The 22537-nt window shown below is 52.2% G+C and overlaps 1 protein-coding gene across 6 annotated transcripts in view; it reads right to left on the bottom strand.

The window, feature by feature from the left end:
- The window catches only part of COL26A1 (collagen type XXVI alpha 1 chain), a 196637-nt gene that overhangs the window by 19698 nt on the left and 154402 nt on the right, over window positions 1–22537 (bottom strand). For all 6 annotated transcript variants that reach the window (XM_017011744.2, NM_001278563.3, XM_017011743.2 and 3 more), the window contains exon 4: window positions 6184–6245. In XM_017011744.2, the coding sequence (XP_016867233.1) occupies window positions 6184–6240 (57 nt within the window). In that variant the 5' untranslated portion in view covers window positions 6241–6245. The remainder of the gene's footprint in view (window positions 1–6183; window positions 6246–22537) is intronic.

The following is a 22537-nucleotide window of genomic DNA, read 5'->3' as shown; positions in this document are numbered from 1 at the left end:
CATACGCACACACACACACACACACACACACATACACACACACACACAGACAGAAAAGGAAGGGAAGAAAGGGAGGGAGGAGAGTGAAAGGGTGGGTATAAATAGGCCCCTTGTGGCACATGACCTTTAGAAGACTTTCCAGAAAAACAAAAGTGGCCACGATTGCTTGGGACCAGCCTGCAATGCGGCCCCATCTGTCCCTCCTTGAGGGAGGCAGGAGTCAAAGGTGGCTGAGACCCAGATCCCGGGACCGGGAGACTTTCTCCTTCCTTTAAACAACTTGAGAGCCAGGACTCAGAGGCCCCGTGAGTCTCTGCTGCCCCCGAAGAGGCCAGCAGGGGGCGCTGTGTGCCAGAAATAGGCTCAGGGTGGGTGGAGATCCCTGCTGGGAACTTGGGTGGGTCCTGGGGCCGAGGGGCGTGAAGGACCTGCTGGGCTGAGCTGAGAGTCCATGGTGCACAGGCAGATGGTCTGCCTGAGTAGCTCCCTCACCAGTTCTGCAGTGCCCCTGGGCCTGGGGGACAGTCCTGGGATCCCTGGGGACAAAGTGGCCTGCTCTGGGCTCCTCCCCAGCAGGGGTGTCTCCAGGGTGCACTTAGCGGCTGCTCAGGGCTCTGACCCTGCACCCAGGGTTCTGGCTGGGCCCCCTGGGCTCAGGCCCTGCTGTGGGCTGCAGAACGGGCTCCCCCTCCACCCCTCTATGGGACACAGTCCTCCGATGGCCTGGATGCCTGGCCCAGGGCCCCTTAACCCCCCAGAGCCAATTCTTTCAGCCCCTCCCCTTTCTGGTCCTTAGAAGGGTCCATGAAACTGGGAGGGTCACTGCGGCGACATCACAAATGAGGTGGAGACAGAGGCTCAGAGACTGCAAGTGACTTGCCTGAGATCACCCAGCAAATGGGCGGTGAGGCCGGGGCCCCTAGTGGTGCCTCATCCACCAAACCACAGTTTATCCTCCCAACAGTTCTGTCTCAACCCCGGCTGAGCTTCGTGGAGGCACAGAGAGCGGGGACAGCTGGCTCAGATCACACGGCAGTGAAGGGTGGACCCCGTTCTCCTGAATCTCCAGGAGGAGAGAAGGGTTCCGATTCCTGCCCCAGCCACTGGCACCCCTGAAGAAGCTGACGGGCCACAGCCAAGTTTAGGGGCTCTGGAGAGGAGCAAGAAGACGGTGGCTGTCAGGTCACGTGATGGAAGGGGCCTGGGATGGCCAGCGCAGGGGATTTGGAGGAGCGTCAGGCCCTGGTGCTCCTGGGGCTGGGGGCAGGAGGTGGGGTGAAGGTTGGAGTGTGTCTCCCCTTTCAGGCCTGGCTGCTGGGAATAGTAGAAATGCCCCCAGTCGAACAAGGGCACGGGAGAGGGGCAGGCTTGGGAGTGAAGGTGATAAGTTGGCGGGGGTGGGTTGCAGTATCCCAAGGGGAACTCAGATGGCCATATTTAACAGGGGGTGGTCCCAAGGGCTGGGAAGTGGAGGTAGAGGACCATGAGAGGAGGCAGGGATGGTGTGGGGAGGCTAGGGTGGAGGAGGAGGGAGCAGGGTGAAGCCTGGAGAGATCTGGGGAGGGGTCCCGCCTTGGCCTCCTACAGGCAACCTCTAGTGTTCCCCATTCTGGGCAAAGCTCTGGCTTCCCCCGAAGTGACCTGCCAGCCAGTACAAAAGGCCTAGCTCTCTCCTTCATGGGGCACCTCCCACTGGGACACCCCTGCCCACAGAGCCTGCAGACCTGGGCAGAGGAGCCCTGGTTGGAATCTGCCCCTGCCAGCGTCTCAGCCCTCCTGGCCTGGCTGTGTCTGACCTGGAGAAACTGATCCCATTTCTGTCCAGGCATGAGCTCACCCGGGTGGGCAGCCATGGGCGTGGGGCCAAGAAAACCAGGCCACGGCCTTCGGGGGCAGTGGCCCTGATGATGTCATTGTGGCCTGGCAGACTAGCCGGGACACTGCCCTCTGCACCAGAGACTGCTGGGACTCTGAGGCTTCTGTGACTCTTGTGTACTGTTTGTGGTCCATGAGGTCAGAGAGTAAAGCCCGGGGCAGGAGAGGGGAGGGCAAGCAGGAATCTTCCCCGGTACCCTGCTGGCCTTCTGCCTGCCAGCCTGTCCCAGGAATAGAGGGTGGCAGAAATCCTGGACCAGCTTCTAGGTCTGCACCAGTGGGAGAGCAGATGGAGCAGACTCTGTGGGTTGCCTGGCCCCCAATGCCCCTTCTTCTCTTGCCCCAGAACTCCCTCTTGTGACTCTGTACATGTGACCCAGGAAAGGAATCAGGACCAGCCTGAGCCAGGCAGAGCCATCCCTTTCTGTTTGGCCAGGTACTCAGTTTCCCAGCTCCCTTGCAACCAGGAGGTGGTCACATTGCCCCAGCACAGGCTCATGAAACGTAAGGAGTCTGTTTGGGTGCTTCACCTCACCCTCCACTTCCTGCCTTTACATACAAGGTGAGGATGTGATGCCTGGAGCTGCAGCAGCCACTTTATAATCATGAGGCATCAACCAGCTCACTAAGAAGTCAGCGAAGAGCCTGGCTTCTTTGGACACCAAACCAATCCCGAGACCACCTCTGCTCCTGGACTTCTTGTGGAATAAACAATAAATGTCCTTATGGAATAAGCTACCATTGGCCAGGTTTCTCTCATTTGCCTCCTTCCCGACATACCAAAGCAGACTTCTTGTCTAAGGGAGCAGAAGCCCCAGTGTCCAGGCTCTGGGTTGCTGCTGTTTTATGCAAGCCATCTGATTTCTGCTTCCCTGTCTGGGATCTGCCTGCCTGGCTCCTGTCCTGGCTCTGCCTTCACCCTGCTAGGATCCCAGCCTCTGCCCTGGCTGACCCCTAGCCTCTGATCTAAGCTGAAAACCCAGCTCCGTGTCCTGGCTCCTGCAGACTCGCCTGACCTCGGCATGGCCTCTGGTGCCGCTGGGCTGTCTTGGCAACTAGCCCAGCTGGTGTTCCCTTCCCCTCTCCAGGCCGCTGCCTCTCAGGGCCCTCTGATCTGGGCCATCAAAGCTGCCAGTGGGGCCAGGCACAGTGGCTCATGCCTGTAGTCCCAACACTGGGAGGCCAAGGCGAGCAGATCACTTGAGGTCAGGAGTTTGAGACCAGCCTGGCCAACATAGGGAAACCCCGTCTCTACTAAAAATACAAAAATTAGCCGGATGTGGTGGATCACACCTGTAATCCCAACTACTCAGGAGGCTGAGGCGGGAGAATCACTTGAACCTGTCCCAGGAGGCAGAGGTTGCAGTGAGCTGAGATCACGCCACCACACTGAGATAGCACGAGACCTTGTCTAAAAAAACCTCCTAGAGGCCCTCTCAACATACGTGGGCATGGAGTGGGCAGGTGGGCGGCCAGAAGGTGCTCCAGACAAGACGGGGGAGCTAAGATAGGAGTCTCCCAGCCCCTACTTAGAAATGCAGACAACTGTCAAAAGGACGGGGGCTGCAGAGCTACCCCATCTCTGCACACTCCAGGCCCAAGCTACCAACCCCAGCTCCCCACTCGAGAGCTGCCTGAGCTTCCCCACTCTGGACCAGCCTCAAAACGAAGTGACTCCAATTTCCATTTTCCAGGCCATCCGACTGAGATCCAGAGGGAAGGGCTGGCCAAGATGGAGTGGAGGAAGGGTGGGAATCTTGGCCTGGGCTCCTCCCACGCACTGCTGTCCCTCCCTCCAGCCCTCGAGGCACACAGAGAGGACACAGTCCTCTCACTCAGGGTCACAGGACAAAGCTCTGCCCCGGGCCTGCTGCTGGAGGCCATGGAGCTGGGGCCCTTGGTGGAGAGGGTGTCAGGGCCGGGAAGACCACAGGGAGGAATTGCTCATGATGGGAGGATGTGGGCCAGGTGGGTGGGGGACAGCTGGCAATGTGGCCATCCTACCCTAGAGCTGCGACTTTTAACACCCACAATACTGGGCTGAGGCCAGGGCTGCTGCTCTGTGCCAAACCACACAGAGGCTTCCGGTACTAGGAAAATGTCCATCAGGCTGGGCATGGCTCGGGGACCCTGCCTTTTCTAAAATCTCAGGTGCCAGAAGCTTACCGGCTCAACATCTTCCCCTATACTCATTCTAGGGGGTCCTGGCCCCGGCTCAGCCCATGTGGAAACATTTGCTCCCTGGAGCCCTCCAATCCTGCCCCACAAGAGCTAAGACTCCAAGGAGAGCAGCTGGGTCTCTCCCATCCCAGGCCTGTGCCCAGGGGCCTGGGCTGCTGGGAGACCCTGCCCGCCCATGGAAGGGCTGGAGGACAAGGGAAGCCGCGAATGCATGCCGTGGGGCTCCCCGTCATTGCTCTGCACAGATGTCTCCCGCACACCTGTGTTCATATCTGTAAGGCGGGAACAGTGACGTGGCTGGCGTGGGTGACAGCACTAATCCTTGACTCCTGGTCAGCATTAGACCATTTCCAAAGCCGGTTCCCACTGCCATCTCCCTGGAGGCTCTCAACAGCCCTGCAGGGCTGATGCTCTGATCCATTCTACAGATGAGGAAGGGGGCTCTGAGAGAGTCACCCAGCTGGCGGGTGGTGGTCCCACAAATGTCTGACTCCAAGCCACACTCACCTGCAACCCCCAGGGCGGAAGTCAGGGCCAAGGGTAATGTGGAGTTGTCAAGGGCTGTGTGTGTTAATGTGTGCACAGTTGTGTCATGTGTGTGTGTGTGTGTGTGTGTATATGTATGTGTGCCCATTGACATGCATGCTTGTGTGTGTGTGTATGTATGCCTGAGTATCCGTGCATGTGACCATGGGTATTACATATGTGTGTCCCTGTTTTTGTGTGTGTGCATGTGTCTGTGTGCACATGTGCAAATGTGTGTGTCTGTATGTGTATATATGTATGTGTGTCTCCACATGCACACAGATGTGTGTGCACAGGTGCCTATGTGTGCATGTGTGTGCACATGTATTATGTGGGTATGCATGCGTGTGTATGTGTGCTCTTCTGGGTGGAGGCATGGCTGACCCTGGCCCTGCTCTCTTCTAGGGGTTCTTGCTGCCTGGGGCTCCAGCCCCACCGTCTCAGGTCCCTGGTCCTCCCTGCCACGTGGCCCTGTTCACACACTCTCTCTGGACAATGCCACGTGCTCTGGTCACCACAGTTCTTCCCCGGAGAGAGCTCTGCCTCAGGCTCAGGTGATTCCAGCCTCCTGGTGCTGGCTCTCCCCTGGGGGGCCAGGCAGTGCAGCCAACCCTGCTGTCCCAAGAGGCTTTGTAGATATTTGGAGGCTGCCTCATCCCTCCAGACCTGTCCTCCCTCAGGTCGAGCCCCTCTGGCTAAACACCAGAGCCTGCTTACCAAGCCCTCTGGGTGAGAACGGGGCTTGTCCCCATCGGGGCAGACACTGTTGGCGCCCCACACGCACCCTTCAGCCCCACCTGGCTTTGGCTTTTGCCTGTGGCCACCTGCAACTCTGCCAAGGGCTTTCTCCAGCCACAGGAGCTGGCATGAGCCTGCTGAGACAGAGGTACCCTCGGGTAAGTGTTACCCAGTGAGGAGCAGGAGAGATGCCTGGCTTCATCGCCCTAAGGTGGCTGCCCCTGAAACGTTCTCAAAACCACCGTCTCCCAGAGGGAGCGTGGGATGGAGCCCCAGGTGCTCCCACAGGTCACCTGCCCATGAACACACCTGTACTGGGCATACCCTTCTTGGCCTCTCTCCCTGCCCAGTGCTGCCTGGGGTCACTGCCAGGTAAATTACTTGTCCTTTGTGGATTCCTTCTGCCTCTGGGTTGACTCCACTTAGGGAGTCCTGTTCTTATAGACTGGGCCAAAAGCTGGTCACTTCCCAGCAGTTCCTCCTCCACGGAGTCTTTTCCCATCGGTTCCTCTGTGCCCAGCCCCATTCTGGAGGTGGGAACAGTGGCCCTGGAGGGACAGAGACTCCCTCCTCTTTCCACTGTCTTCTGGGTGTCCAGCCTCCCAGCCCCCGGGTCCTGGGAGCTCAGCACCATTCTGACCTGCCCAAAACCAGCCTGCTGCCCGGGACCTCCCAGCCCAAGAAGGCCACCCAGAGCCACCAAGGCCTGAACAGTACCCAGTACCTGGGACCGGCTGTCCAAGCCTGCTTGGAAACCCGGGGCTGGGAATTCCACGGCCACACCCAGTGGTTGCCTGATGCCTCCCTCCACCACCCAAGGTCCCCAGGCAGCTCCCCAGGCCCAGACTCCCCAGCCCGACTGACCTTGGCCTCCAGTGTGGTCAGTCGCTCACTCATGTCACTGAGCCGGGTGCAGTTCATGCATTCTGAAAGAGAAGAGGAACTTATATGAGAGCAGAGTGTAGACCCTAGGAAGACAGCAGCCCAGTCACCAGGATAGCCTCTGGGCAGGCAGGCAAGCAGAGAAATCTCCAGTCATTTTGCCTGGAAAACTCCTATTCATCCTTCAAAGCCTTACCCTCAGAGCCCCCTCCTCCATGCAGCCTGCTGGACCACTGAGCCTCCCTTCTGAGCACGCGCAGTACACTATACTGTCTGTTTATTCAGACAAGGTGATGCCATGAGCTGGTGAGCACAATGAAGGCAGGGGTCTTTTTCTATTGTGTTCACCCATGAATCTCAGTGACTGGCACAAAGCAGAGACTCAAAAAATATCTGACAATTGATGAACAGATAGTGAGGTGGGCCCCTGACTTTGAGAACCAGAGTCTGGGGAAGGAGTTGGGCTAATAGACACAGGGTAGGAAGGGGATGCCAAAGCCAGTCCAATCAGGGGGACAATCAAGGAGGACGTCCTGGAGGCAGTGGCATCAAAGATGAGACCTGAGAAATGCACAATAGCTGGCCAGGTTCAGCAGAGAGAAGAGCAAATGCATTCTAAAAGAAAAAGGAATGCATTCTGAAAGAGTACATTTTCTGAGGCTGGGAGGGGAGTGAGAACAGGGCAGGTTGGCCAACTCAGAACACACTTGAGGACTGCCAAGGCTGGAAAGGTCAAGGATCTCTAACACCAGGGGCCTGGGAAGGGCTGTGGCAGTGTCTGTAGGTCACTGGAGGGTCTTAGGCGGGTGAAATTCGAGGTCAAGTTTGCATTTGTAGATGCTCACTCTGGCAGCAGAGTGTGCAGTGGATGGAAGTGGGAGGGACTGGAGCCCGGAAGGCCAATTAGGAGCCTTGTGATGCTGACCCCGCCCAAGAGCACATCTCTCTGGGCTGTAATTACCTTTTTATGTCTGTCTCCCCCGAGGCCCGAGACCTGGAGCTCTTTAATGATGAAATAGATGGTTCAAAGCTGTTCTAAAGAGCTTTTATTGCTCTAGAAGTCAGGGGATGCCTAAAGTCTCTTTCTTCAGCTCATTTCAAAGCCTGACCCTGCACATCCCCATCACTGTTAAACAGATGCCTAAGAGGTATTTGGGTAACTGAATAGCTCCCACTCTGCGTGCTGGGGCTGACCACGATCCTGCTTGGGAGAGGTGAGAACTGCAGCCCACACGCACAGTCCACGGCCCCCCGACACTGTCAGCCTCCCCCTTGTTCTTGGAGCTATCCCCGTCTTTGTCATCGAACGCAAATCACCTTGAAATGTTCCCTGTCCTTAAAAAAAAAAACAAAAAACAAAGGGCGATTCCTCTGCAATAGATGTTTGGGGAGAAACCACGGGGAGTTGGGGGGAGTCTCAGGACCCTGGGAATAGGTGGTCGAGGCTGTACCCTCAGGGTGCTCAGTCTCGGGTCAAGAGGGGGCAACACCCTACTCGCTGCTCCTCAGTGACATGTGGCCTAGCAGAGGGCCCCTCTCCCTCCTTCCCTCCCTTCTACCCCTGGCTGGCCCAAATCAGTGATTTATAAGCATTTGTTAAGGAATAGAACTCTTTCTCCTCCATAAAACCTTGTCAGTACCTCTGATGCATAAAACAGATTGAAGACTGAGGTATAAACACTGAACATTCAAACAACTAGAGGAATATATACAGTTTTCTGACTCTGGGACCAGGCAGGACTTCACCAAAGACACATGATACAGGGATGTGGTTTTCTAGTTAAACATGGTGGATTGAACACAGGTTCCCTTCTGTTTCCTCTCAGGAAAGGGCTGATAAAGAAATAAAAAGGTAGGCCGGGTGTGGTGGCTCACGCCTATAATCCCAGCACTTTGGGAGGCCAAGGCGGGAGGATCATGAGGTCAGGAGATCGAGACAATCCTGGCTAACATGGTGAAACCCCGTCTCTACTAAAAAATACAAAAAATTAGCCAGGCATGGTGGCGGGCGCCTGTAGTCTCAGCTACTCGGGAGGCTGAGGCAGGAGACTGGCATGAAGCCAGGAGGCAGAGCTTGCAGTGAGCCGAGATCGCACCACTGCACTCCAGCCTGGGTGACAGAGTGAGACTTCTTCTCAAAACAAAAAAACAAAAAAACAAAAAACAAAAAAAAACAAGAAATAAAAAAGGTATAAAATCCACAAAGCAAAGGGAAAGGCGGAGGGACCTCTTGGCAGATGAACAATGCAAATACTATTTTGCAAGGTGCATGCAGCCAGGTGCACCAGCCAGCCTTGCAAACCCAAGGCGGGGATGGAGACTGGGAGCCACTGGCTCTCCTGGGGCTCAAAATGCCCCAGATGGGGCAGAGGAGGGAGTCCTCCCTGGAAACAGGGGCCTGCCAAAGAGGAAAGACCCACCGACGCTGACATTTGGGAACATCCCTGATGAAACGGTGGAGTCCCTGAAAGGCCAGCCTCCAGGAAGTCCCCAGTCAACAAGGCCCTGGCGTCCAGGGGGCTTTCAGTGCCTGCTTTTTTTTTTTTTTTTTTTTTTTTTAAAGACAGAGTCTCACTCTTGTCACCCAGGCTGGAGTACAGTGATGCAATCTTGCTCACTGCAACCTCCGCCTCAAGTTCAAGTGATTCTCCTGCCTCAGCCTCCCGGGTAGCTAGGATTACAGGCACGCATCACCACGCCCGGCTAGTTGTGTATTTTTAGTAGAGACGGGGTTTTACCATGTTGCCCAGGCTGGTCTCGAACTTCTGACCTCAAGGGATCCGCCCACCTCAGCCTCCCAAAGTGCTGGGATTACAAGTGAGAGCCACCACGCCCAGCCTAGTGCCTTCCTCTTAAACTTACACAACCAATGATTCCTGTGCGGCTGAAAGAAGTCCTTAATGGGAAAGGCAGAGATCAAAATGAACAGGGTTCCATTTGTTCACCTATTCACTCACCCACCCAGCTACCCATCCTACACCTTAAGCTACCCCAGCCCTAAACACCCCCATCTACCCACCTATACATTCACCCTGCTCCCCATCTGTCCACCTCCTCTCCTCTACCTCTAATCATCCCTCATCCACCCGAAGGCTCTGTGGATGTTCCTGCGACTGGATGACACTGTGCCAACACTCTAATACTGGTGGGGAGAGGGTCAGGGCTGCACAGACCCGAATGCCTGCCTTCAGGGGTTGTCTACTTGAAAGCAGAGATGCATGACCCCTCTCTAGTAGCTGTGTTCTGTGGGTTGACCAGGATCACTTGGAAAAAGCAAGATGGAACCTAAGCGTCCACCAATGGTGGATTGGATAAAGAAAATGAGGTGCATATACACTGTAGAATATTACACAGCCATGAAAAAGAATAAAATCATGTCCTTTGCAGCAACATGGACGCAGCTGGAGGTTGTCATTCTGAGCGAACAAACTCAGAAGCAGAAGATCAAATATTGCATGTTCTCACCTATAAGTAGGAGCTGAACAAGGGGTATATATGGACATAAAGATGGGGTATGAGGATTGAAAAATAATCTCTCTGGTACAGTGTTCAACATTTGGGTGATGAGGCCGGGCATGGTGGCTCACGCCTGTAATCTCAGCACTTTGGGAGGCCGAGGTGAGAGGATCAGGAGTTCGAGACCAGCCTGGCCAACATGGTGAAACCCTGTCTCTACTAAAAATACAAATATTAGCCAGGTGTGGTGGCAGATGCCTAAAATCCCAGCTACTAGGGAGGCTGAGGCACGAGGATCGCTTGAACCCGGGAGGCAGAGGCTGCAGTGAGCCAAGATCAAGCCATCGCACTCCAGCCTGGCCAAGAGAGCAAAACTCCGTTTCAAAAACAAAAAACAAAAAATATTTGGGTGATGGGTGCACTACAAGCCCAATCCCTACTATTATGCATGTAACAAACAAGCACATATAACCCCCTGAATCTAACATAAAATAATTTTCTTTTGACACAGAATCTTGCTCTGTTGCCTGGGCTGAAGTGCAGTGGTACAATCTTGGCTCACTGTAACCTTTGCCACCGGGGTTCAAGTGATTCTCCTGCCTCAGCCTCCCAAGTAGCTGGGACTACAGTCACGTGCCACCGTGCCTGGCTAATTTTTGTATTTTTAGTAGAGATAGGGTTTCGCTGTGTTGGCCAGGCTGGTCTCGAACTCCTGACCTCAAGTGATCCACCCGGCTTGGCCTCCCAAAGAGCTGAGATGACAGGCGTGAGCCACAGCACCTAGCCTTAAAATAAAATAACATATTTAAAAAAGAAAAGAAGGATGGGTGTGGTGGCTCATGGCTGGAATCCCTGTACTTTGGGAGGTTGAGGTGGGTGGATCGCTTGAGCCCGGGAGTTTGAGATCAGCCTGGTGAACACAGTGAGACCCTGTCTGTACAAAAAGATACAAAAGTTAGCCAGGCATGGTGGTGCGTGCCAGTAGTCTCAGCTACTTTGGAGGCTGAGGCAGGAGGATCACCTGAGTCCAGAAGGTTGAGGCTGCAGTGAGCCATGTTGGCGCCACTGCACTACAGTTTGGGCAACAGAGCCAGACCCTGTCAGAGAGGGGAGGGGAAGGGAGAGGACAGGAGGGGAGAGGAGGGGAGGAGAGGGAAGGGGAGGGAAGGGAAAAGCAACTCTCCAGCTCGAGCCACACAGGAAGACACCACCCCACCCTTGGGGCCTGAGGGAAGAGGAGGAGGAGGTGGACATGGGGAAGTTACAAATGACAGCCCTGGCCTGTCCAGGAACTCTGGGCAAACTGCACAATCTGGAGGCTTTTAGGGGCCTTGAGCAGAGTGTTTCAAGGGCCTGAGGCAACAAATAGGATCCCCTGCATGGTGGAAGTTCAGCGGATGGAGGGGGAGGCCCAGCTCTCTCAAAGACCTATTTCTGGAAATTATGCTGGGCCTGGGCCCAGTTTGCTCTGGCACTGGGCACCCTGCTTGGCAGGTGAGGAGCAGCTTGGCCAACGGTGGACATGGGGGTTGTGGGGTGGGTCCAGCTCCCCAGCTGTGGTGAGGCCCTAGAGGCCCAGCCAGCTCGGACTCCCCACACCACCCCCATCCCCGGGCAGGCGCTCCAGAACCGGACGGGATTTTCATTCCCTTGGCATCTGTCATCGACAGGCAATTAAAGCATGTTTGTTTAACTTTCTTTGATTATTCACTGGAGTGCTGGAAACATGGAAATGGTGATGGGGGTGCTGATCCTGCCCCCTCCTGGCTCTGTGACCAGAGGAGGCCCTGCCCGAACTACTCTACGATGTGGTCGCTAACTTTCCAGGATTATGAAGTGTCCCAAATGCCTGGCCCCTCCGAGAACACACTGGCCCTGGAGCACCTGGGGCCACAGTGCCTTTCCCAGCGTCTAGGACCCACACAGAAACCAGCGGGGTAAACCTTTGCCAATAGGTGTATGTTGGAAGTGTCAACGTACCAGGCAAACTAGTCTGTGTTTGTGGGTGCACAAGCAAGTGTGTGTGTGAAAGACACAGGCTGGCGTGGTGGCTCACGCCTGTAATCCAAGCACTTTGGGAGGCTGAGGTGGGCGGATCACGAGGTTAAGAGATCAAGACCATCCTGGCCAACATGGTGAAACCCCGTCGCTACTAAAAATACAAAAAAAAAAAAATCAGCTGGACGTGGTGGTGCGTGCCTGTAATCCAAGCTACTCGGGAGGCTGAGGCAGGAGAATTGCTTGAACCTGGGAGGCAGAGGTTTCAGTGAGCCGAGATCGTGCCACTGCACTCCAGTCTGGCAACAGAGCTAGACTCCATCTCAAAAAGAGAAAAAAATAAAAAGAAAAAAGAAAAAGAAAAGAGAAAGAGACAGACAGAGACATAGAGAGAGAGAGCAGGCCAGGTGGGGTGGCTCATGCGTGTCATCCCAGCCCTTTGGGAGGTCAAGGTGGGAGGATCGCTTGGGCCCAGGAGTTGGAGACCAGTCGGGGCAACATGGCAGGACCCCGTCTCTAGAAAAAATTTTAAAATTAGCTAGATATGGTGGCGTGTGCCTGTAATCCTAGCTACTCAGGAGGCTGAGGTGGGAGGATTGCTTGAGCCTGGGAGGTGGAGGCTGCAGTGAGTTGTCATTGTGCCACTGCACTCCAGCCTGGGCTGGAGATGTAGTGTCCTTTTGAGACGCTGTCTCAAAAGAGAGAGAGAGTTGATTGTGCGGTGTGTTCATTGTAAAGAGAACTATAGAGACCTGGGTCTAAGTTGGCCAGGAACTCACCGTGTGGCTTGAGACGCCCTCTCTCTCTCCACACCTCAGTTTTCCCATCTATAAAGGGGGTTTACACTGGATCAGCTCCAGTGGCTTCAGGCTCCAGGACTCTTCACTCTTGCCACCGGTGACCTCCTCCTCGGCCTCTCACTTCCGGGCTCTGCCCACCCACAGCAGGACAACAGTTGTCAAGTCCACCTGCCATCTGCCTTTGGTCAGCACTGCTCCTGGTGATGGCTCTGCTCCCAGAATTCAGGACCCACCTCCCAAATGAGGCTGGATTCCCAAGGCCTGGGCCCTGAGAGGGGATTTGCAGATAGGGCAGGAGTTGGTTATTGCAGGGAAATGGAAAGAGGCAGCTGGAGTCTACTTGAGCCACAAGATCCCAGTGGGAGGCAAGGCACATGGATGGTCCTGTCCCCAGAGGCCCAGCTCCCTCTGTGAGAGGTCTCAGAGGGGTCTGCAGGCAGAGGGCATGTGCAGGGCAAGTGCCACCAGCAGGCCACCCCAACCAGGGCCCAGCTGGAGGCGATCCTTAAAAATCCATCCAGAAGGCTGGGAGCAGTGGCTTATGCTTATAATCCCAGCACTTTGGGCAGTTGAGGTGGGTGGATCATCTGAGGTTGAGAGGTCAAGACCAGCCTGGCCAACATGGAGAGACCCCGTCTCTACTAAAAATACAAAAATTAGCTGGATGTGGTGGCGGGCACCTGTAATCCCAACTACTCGGGAGGCTGAAGCAGGAGAATCGCTTGAACCCAGGAGGCGGAGGTTGCAGTGAGCCGAGATCACGCCATTGCACTCCAGCCTGGGCAACAAGAGCGAAACTCTGTCTCAAAAAAAAAAGAAAAAGGAAAAGAAAAGAAAAAGAAAACGCAGTTCTGCTCCAGCTAAAAAGATACCATGGCCAATAGGAGGGCAGCATGGCCCACTGTGGCTGTCCCCAAGGAGACTGGCTGGATCCCCATTATCAAAATCCCATTGAGAGGTGAGCCAGCAGGGTAGCATTGGGGTGTCAGTGTAAAGGCTGGACTGCCATGTAGGAGGGGGGTCAAAGGAAGAAAGTCTCTACGTTTGGTCACTTTCTAACTTAAGTAAGAATGAAGTGCCAGGTGCAGTGGCTCACACCTGTAATCCCAGCACTTTGGGAGGCCAAGGTGGGCGGATCACGAGGTCAGGAGATCGAGACCATCCTGGCTAACACAGTGAAACCCCGTCTCTACTAAAAATACAAAAAATTAGCCGGGCGTGATGGTGGGCACCTGTAGTCCCAGCTACTCAGGAGGCTGAGGCAGGAGAATTGCTTGAACCCGGGAGGCGGAGCTTGCAGTGAGCCAAGATCATGCCACTGCACTCCAGCCTGGGTGACAGAGAGAGACTCCATCTCAAAAAAAAAAAACCAAAAAAACAGTGAAGTCAGAGGCCAGGCTCAGTGGCTCACACCTGTAATCTCAGCACTTTGGGAGGCTGAGGAGGGCAGATCACGACTTCAGGAGATCAAGACCATCCTGGCTAACACAGTGAAACCCCGTTTCTATTAAAAATACAAAAAATTAGCTGGGCATGGCGGCACACGCCTGTAGTCCCAGCTACTCAAGAGGCTGAGGCAGGAGAATGGCTTGAACCCAGGAGACAGAGGTTGTAGAGAGCTGAGATCACGCCACTGCATTCCAGCCTGGGTGACAGAGCAAGACTCTGTCTCAAAAAAAAAAAAAAAAAAAAAAAAAAAAGAATGAAGTCAAACTATGGATACTGAGTGGGAACTATCTCAGCACTCTTGCTCCACCTGGCTCTTAGAAAGCTGGCATCAAAGGCCATGCCACACACTCACAAATCATAAGATTCATAAGATTCTTCTCTGGGGCACCCATTCTCAATGATATGAAAGCAAGTGCCTGGACCATGACTGGGCATGGACAAAGTCTGTCTATAACCCTGGGGGTTCTGTTGACTTGGCTGGCAGAGTCTGTTTTTCTCCCTCTCTGCCTCCACATCCAACCCTTATTCAAGGTTGATGGGTCTTGCACCATGGCTGGACCACAGGCCAAAGCATCTTCCCCCCAGCAAGATCTAATGAAAAACTACTGTTATAGAATTATTAAGCTAGTTTAGCAAGGTGGCTGGAATATAAAGACAGTTTACAAAAATCAATCATATTCCTACCTACGACAAGCAAATAGAAAAAGAAATTAAGTGATACCATGTACAAAAGCATCATAAAGTATGAAATTACATAGGACTAAATCTCCTGAAAACTATAAAACACCACTGAGAGAAATTAAATAACTAAATAAATGGAAAGATATACTATGTTCATGGATTGGAAGACTCAATATTATAAAGATGTTAATTCTCCCCATCCCAGTAAAAATTGCAGCTGGTGTGTTACACTAGTACATTGAACATGTCAGTGTCTATACCACTGGGTTGGTGTGTTACGCTGGGACATCAAACATGTCAGGTCTATACCTCTGGAAACAACAGAGCATTTTCTGGCTGTAGGTGCCTGATAAATTGTCTTGATTTTCCTTTGTAACTCAACTGTATAGAAGGTTTTTCCCTTAGCAGTAGGGGGAGTACAGGTGATTAATCATCGATGTCACTGCAATAGTCGTTTTTTTTTTTTTCTTTGAGACAGAGTCTCACTCTGTCACCCAGGCTGGAGTGCAGTGATGCCATCTTAGCTCACTGCAACCTCTGCCTCCTGGGTTCAAGCAACTCTAGTGCCTCAGCCTCACGAGTAGCTGAGATTACAGCCACCCACCACCATGCCCGGCTAATTTTTTGTATTTTTAGTAGAGACAGGGTTTCACCATGTTGGTCATGCTGGTCTCGAACTCCTGACCTAAAGTGATCCGCCCACTTGAGCCTCCCAAAGTGCTGGGATTACAGGTATGAGCCACTGTGCCTGGCCACAATTGTTGTTTTTGAAAATAAATAAATAAATATATATAAATTCTTCCAGTTGATCTATAGAGTCAATGCAATCCCAGTCAAAATCCCAGTAGACTTTTTTTTTTGGTGGAAATTGTCCGATTGATTCCAAAATGTATATGAAAATACAAATGTCCAAGACTAGTCAAGGCAGTCTTGAAGAAGAACAAAAGTAAAAGATTTATACTACTAGAATTGAGACCTTGTTACAAAACTATAGTAATTAAGACACGAGACAGATGGATGGTACAAAGTTAGACAAATAGATCCACACTTACACATCACTTGGCTTATGAAAAAGGCGCAAATGCAGTATAGAAGACAAAGGATAGACATATCAATAAATGGTGCTGGTCAATTGGATATACAAATGAAAAAGAAAAGTAAAAGAATCTGACTCCTAATCCATACCACGTGCAAAAGTCAATTCCAGTTGGATTGTAGATCTAAACATAAAGGGTAAAAAAATACAGCATTTGGAAGAAAACATAGGTGACTACCTATATGACCTCAAAATAGAGTTCTTAAGCAGGATGCAAGAAGCATTACCATTTAAAAAAATTGATAAAGTAGACCACATTAAAATTAAGAATTTCTCGGGCCAGGTGTGGTGGCTCACGCCTGTAATTCCAGCACTTTGGGAGGCTGAGGCAGGTGGATTATTTGAGGTCAGGAGTTTGAGACCAGCCTGGCCAACATAGTGAAACCTCATCTCTACTAAAAATACAAAATTAGCCAGGCATGGTGGCGCATGCCTGTAATCCCAGCTACTCGGGAGACTGAGGCAGGAGAATGGCTTGAACCCGGGAGGCGGAGGTTGTGGTGAGCCGAGATCGTGCCATTGCACTCCAGACTGGGCAACAAGAGCAAAACTCCACCTCAAAAAAAAAAAAAAAGAATTTCTTTTCATCAAAAGACACCATTAAGAGAATGAATGAAGAAGTATATCACCAACTGGAAGAGGATTCTTGGAATATGTGTATGCACAAAATAAGAGCTCCAAATGGCCAATGATCATATGAAGAGGGGGTCAAGTTCATTTGCCATATCAGGGAAATGTAAATTAAACCACAATGTGATACTCCCACATAGCCACTAGAATGGCTGATATTAAAAAGACTAACAGTTACTCTTTTTTTTTTTTTTAACCAAGTATTAGAGAGGATGCGGAGCAACTGGAACTGTCTGTCATACACTGCGGGTGGGAGTATCAATGGTACAACCACTTTTAAAACCCCTTTGGCAGTCTCTAATAAGGCTGAATATAAGCCCGCTCTATGACACAACAACTCCATTCCCAGATATCTCCTCCCTTCCCATGAAAATACAAGCCAGGATATAATAAACTTCAGCATCAAACATCTTCCTGATCTCTGTCTTAAGTCCCTGTTACTCCAGTGGAAGCCCCTCTCTGCTTTTTCTAGACTTAGTGGAAATGGGAAATAGTTGCTGGGGGCTGCAGGAGAAGCTGTTCCCAAACATGGTGAGGAAGCCTCACCAGATGCCTGATTTTGATCTTAGACTTCTCAGCCCCCAGAGCTGTGAGGAAATAAACTTCTGTTCCTTATAAATTACCCAGTGTCCAATATTTTGTTCTAGTAGCACAAAACAGACTGAGACAGATGGATATACGAAAAGTTATCCCATCCAGAGGGCTAAGTGCTGTAAGCCAGTTGGGCACAGGTGCAAGGCAATTGGCGAGAAGGTGGGTGCCTAAGTTCCCTTGGAGTGGTCAAGGAAGGCTTCCTGGAGGAGGTGGTGCTTAATTAGGAGCCAGCTGACCAATGCGGGTGTGAGGGAGGGTTGGGAGCCACTTCTAGATGAGAGAACAAGACAGGCACGAAATTCATTCACAAAATGAATAAATATGTTCACTGAAAGGCATGCACAAGAACGTTCATGGCAGCATTGCTCAGAATAACCCAAAATTAGAAACAGCCCAAATTCCTATTAATGGCCAACTGGATAAATAAATTGCATATCACAAAATGAAATGCAACACGGTCAGAACAGTAGGCAAACCACATGCAACAGTGTGGACGAGTCTCACAGAACACGTCAGGTGAAGGCGGACAGACTCAAACAAGTACCTACTGTCTGATTCCATTTATCTGAAGTTCAGAAACAAGCGGAAGAGTCTAAGGTGTTGGAATTCAGGTGAGTGGTTACCCGTGGGGAGAGTCACAGTTGAAAGAGGCAAGAAGAGGGCTTTCAAGATCATGAGAACGTTCTTTGTTAATGTGGGTGCTGGTTACACAGGCATGATCAGTTTGTAATAAACATGCCAAAGTGTTCTCTTAATTGTCCTCAAATGCCAATCCAACCTTGTCACCCTATGTGCTGCTGCTGTGGCCTACTTGCCATGCTCTGTGCACCTCTTGCTCTCCTAAGCCTTTACCAGTCTTGTACTCTCATCTAGAAATGGCTCCCAACCCTCCCTCACACCTGCATTGGTCAGCTAGCACCACCTCTTTCAGGAAGCCTTCCTTGACCACCCCAAGGGCACTTAGGCACCCACCTTCCCACCAATTGCCATGCACCCTGTACACAACTGGCTTACAGAATTTAGCACCCTGGATGGGATCACTTTTTGTATATCCACCTGTCTCAGTCTATTTTGCATTATGAGAACCAAATACCTGAGATAGGGTAATATGGTTTGGCTCTGTGTCCCCACCCAAATCTCATCTCGAATTGTAATCCCCATGTATCAAGGGAGGGACACGGTGGGAGGTGACTGGATCATGGGGGTGGTCTCCCCGTGCTGTTTTTGTGATAGTGAAGGAGTTCTTATGAGATCTGATGGTTTAAAAAGTGGCAGTTCCCCCTGCACACATTCTCTCTCCTGCTGCCTTGTGAAGACACGCCTTGCTTCCCCTTTGCCTTCCACCATGATTGTAAGTTTCCTGAGGCCTCCCCAGCCATGTAGAGTTGTGAGTCAGTTGGGCCTCTTTTCTTCGTCAATTACCCAGTCTGAGGTAGTATCTTTATAGCAGTGTGAAGACAGGCTAATACACTGGGTAATTTATAAAGAACAGAAGTTTATTTCCTCACAGCTCTGGGGGCTGGGAAGTCCAAGATCAAGATCAGCCATCTGGTGAGGCTTCCTTACTGTGCATGGGAACTGCTTCTCCCTGCAGCCCCCAGCAGCTGTTTCCCATTTCCACTAAGTCCAGAAAAAACATAAAGGGGCTTATAGAGAGAGTCAGGGCCCTGCTGCTGGGGAAGGAGCATGAGAGGGGAGCAAAAGGAAGACCACTCCACATGTCCCCCTGCTGGAGCAAAAACATGCAAGAACACGGGGGTGTGTGTGTGTGTGTGTGTGTGTGTGTGTATGTGTCTGTGCTTGTCTGTCAACCTGGTTCTCTTCCTCCCACCTTTGCCTCCTGAGTAGCTGGGAGTACAGGTGTGCACCACCATGCCCAGCTAATTTTTAAAAATTTTTTTGTACAGACGAAGTCTCAGTATGTTGCCCAGGGTGGTCGCGTCTCCTGGCCGCAAGCAATTCTCCCACCTCGGCCTCTCAAAGTGTAGGGATTACAGGTATGAGCCATTGCACCTGGCCAGTTCTTAAATGAGTCTCTCTCCAAAATGATTTGGCTATAAAAGGCTCTGCTATCAGGAGGCTGGGAGGGTCCCCAAGGACCCTGTGTTCTGCACCGTCTCTAGCTGAGCTGCCCTGCCTGCCCCAGGCAGGTGTTGGGTGGGCTTGACTCAAGAGCGTACCCTGAGACCTTCAGACCCCATCTTCAGCTTATGATGCTCCGGGGGGACTTCTGGATGTAGCAATGGTGGTCTCTACTCAGCATGCACACAGAGAGCTTGTCCCTTCCTGCACATCCTCCCTGGATAAACAGCTGGGACTAAAGATAAGGACACTCCCTGCAGGCTGAGGGTAAAGATCTGGACCAGGCAATAGACCAGGGGATTATTGCCCCATTTTATTGTGGAGGAAAACTGAGGGCCACTGAGAGGGAGCAGATGAGCTGAAATGGAACCAGGGCATCTGGCTGCTCATCCTGTAGCCCTGCCTGGACTGGAGGGCCTGGGATGCTTCACAGGGGATCACATTTCACCATGGAAGCTTGAGAATGAGCCGCGGTGATGTGATCCATCTGCTCTCAGCAAGCAAAACTCAGCTCCTTTTCCCGAGGAGAGAGGAGGGAACACTGGACGCCCAGATGACGTGACTTCTAGCTCCGTTAGTTACTGACTCAGAATGACGAGGTTGAACGGGCTTTAAAAGAGTGTCCAGGTGGTCCCTGCCTCTGATCTATGGGTGGCTGAGGCACAGAGAGGGCTGTGCTCTGCCTGAGGATGCACAGGGCAGTTCCCAGTGCCTGACCCCGCTCCCTGTTCAGTGTCCCCCAGCTGGCAGTGGCTGAGTGGGATCTCAGAAGGTGCACATGCATAGAGCAGGAAGCCTGTCCCCTGGCCTCAGCAGCCTGTGCAGAGTGGCAGGGAGCCACCAGCAGGGCCCGGCAGCCTCTCCCTCTGCAGCCTCCTAATGCTCACTTTGGTTCCTTTTGTTGGAGAGGCTGAGGTGGAATGATCGCTTGAGCCCAGAAGTTGGAGGCAGCAGTGAGCTATGATGACACTACTGCACTCCAGCCTGGGCCACAGAGCGAGACCCTGTCTCTAGGGGAAAAACTAAAAAAAGAATTTGTGGCTCCTGATTGCTTTGGGCCACTTTGGAAACCTCAGGAGTCAGTGAGTTAGAACTGTAACATCCGGGAGAGCTCCCAAAAAGGTGCATGAGCATTAGTGCCCAGATCCTGACACCTCCTGGGGCCATATCTGTACCTGTGTCACCTGCCAGACAGATTACCTGGAGATGAGTTTAGCTCGCCTCTTCTGGACAGGCAAGTGTAACAGGTCATGGCAGGTCTGTTTGATTAAATTAATATATTAATTTATCAGCAACACTGTTCCATAGACCAGCTTTCCTTCAGACCAGCCATGAATGGGAGATGTCCCCAGAATGAAGGTGTGAGTATAGAGGGACGAGACTCTTTCAGGATCAAGTACTTCTTGGCCCTCCGTTGGGGACAGATTGGGGTCCCCACAGCTGGGGATGCTTGGATGAAGGAAGCTGGGTTACAATGTGCTCGGTGGAGAGATTTCAAGTCTTCCAGGAATGTCCCTCAGGACTTGACGGGGATTTCATTGCAACAAAAATAAGTGATCAGTCCCAGCAGTTGTTTGGGGCAGCAAGGATACCAGGAGAGGGGAACATCACTGTACATGTTTATCTTGCCGGTTTCAGCGATTCAATTGCTTCTCTTGGGTGGATTTCTGAGGATCGCATTGTTCATCTGAAGTTATTGCTTCAAGTGCTCTAACCCTTTCTTCCTCATCCAGAAAGAAATCATAAATAACTCCAGGGCCCCGCAAAGCTGGCAGCTGGCCCCGCCTGGGCCTGAAAGATGACACCAAGTGCAGGGGGAGACGGACTCTGTGGTTCCTGACCCACTTGGACACGGGGAGTTGGCGCTGCCATTGCTCTTCATCACTGGGAAAGAATTTGTCTTAATGGTGCTCCAAGCCCAAGGTCAAGGTTCAAAGGGTCATGAAACAAAGCTGGCAGCCTTGGAGCCTCCAGGCTGTGGTGGGGTGGGGAGCGGCCTGACACTGCCAGGCACTCTGAACCCCAGAGGGCTGAGGGGCACCCACAGCCTTGGGACTAGGTGAGGCCTCATCTTCCTGTAGCACCCACTGGTCAAGGCTCAGGAGGAGGCAATCGCCTCTCAAGGAACAGACAAATTCCCAAAAATACAGCAAGATGCGGGCAAGGTTCTCTGGCCATTGGGGCTTTCAGAGAGAAATGGCAGCAGAGTTTTAAAAACAAAAGACAGGCTGGGTGCAGTGGCTCACACCTGTAATCCCAGTACTTTGGGAGGTAGAGGTGGGAGAATCTCTTGAGCCAAGAAGTTCAAGACTAGCCTAAGCAACTTAGCAAGACATCGTCTCTCAAAGTTTTTTAGAACAAGCTAGGCCTGGGTGGTGCATGCCTGTAGTCCCAGCTACTCGGGAGGCCGAGGTGGGAGGATCGCTTGAGTCCAGGAGTTCGAAGCTGTAGTGAGCTATGATTGCACCACTGCACTCCAGCCTGGGACACAGAGCAAGACCTCATCTCAAAAAAAAAAAAAAAAAAAAAAAAAAAAAAAAATGCGGGGAGAAGGGAAGCTTCTCTGACTGCAGTGGGGGAAGCCCTGGAGCACCCCAACCCTGTCTTCCAGCCCAGCTATCTTCTATCCCCTGGGATCAAGATGGGCAAGAGATGGTGAAATGGTTTGGCTGTGTCCTCACCCAAATCTCATCTTGAATTCCCACATGTTGTGGGAGGGACCCAGTGGGAGCTAATTGAATCATGGGGCAGGTCTTTCTCATGCCGTTCTCGTGATAGTGAGTAAGTCTCGCGAGATCTGATGATTATATAAGTGGGAGTTTCCCTGCACCCAGCACAAGCTCTCTCGTGGCTGGGGAAGTCTCACAATCATGGCGGAAGGCAAGGAGGAGCAAGTCACCTCGCAGTGATTGTGAGGCTCCCCCAGCCACGTGGAGCTGTAAGTCCATTAAACCTCTTTTTTTCTGTAAATTGCCCAATCTTGGGTATGTCTTTATCAGCAACGTGAAAACGGACCAATACAGATGGGCAGGCAGGTGTCAGAGCCCCATTGCCCAGGTTCCTAGACACCCAACGGAGGAACAGGTGAAGGAGATCCATCCACATCTCTGGGGAATACTGCGCTCACACGGAAGCTACCTGCTTGGTGGCATTTGGCAGCCTGGGCTCAGCTTCCCTAGGGCAGTGATGTCAGCTCAGGCGGGAGATGGGATGGGTGAAGGAGACAGGAAGGGAAGAATCACGGGGCAAGTGAAGGAGACTCCTTGAGTCTCAGGGTCAGACTCAGGATCACACCTTTCCTGGCAGGAGGCAGTTGCCATGGTAATCCGAGGAGCACTCGACAAGGCCCCTCCCCTTACCAGGCACCGACCTTCACCAAGGATGAATTTTTTCTTCCACTTGCCTGGATTTTCCAGCCTGGGAAATCACCCAAACACGATCTGGCTCTTTCTTAGGGAGACTTTCTGTGTATTGCTGCCCCGAATAGTTCTTTAAAATGCCTTCGAACAACATGACGGCCTCTGTGCAGGATTTTACAGTGGTTGCCTAA

The sequence above is a fragment of the Homo sapiens genome, chromosome 7, assembly GCF_000001405.40.
Source record: "Homo sapiens chromosome 7, GRCh38.p14 Primary Assembly".
In the NCBI taxonomy this organism is placed as follows: Eukaryota; Metazoa; Chordata; class Mammalia; order Primates; family Hominidae; genus Homo; species Homo sapiens.
The sequence above is the reverse complement of the archived record's forward strand: the minus strand, read 5'-3'. Positions and strand labels throughout refer to the sequence as shown.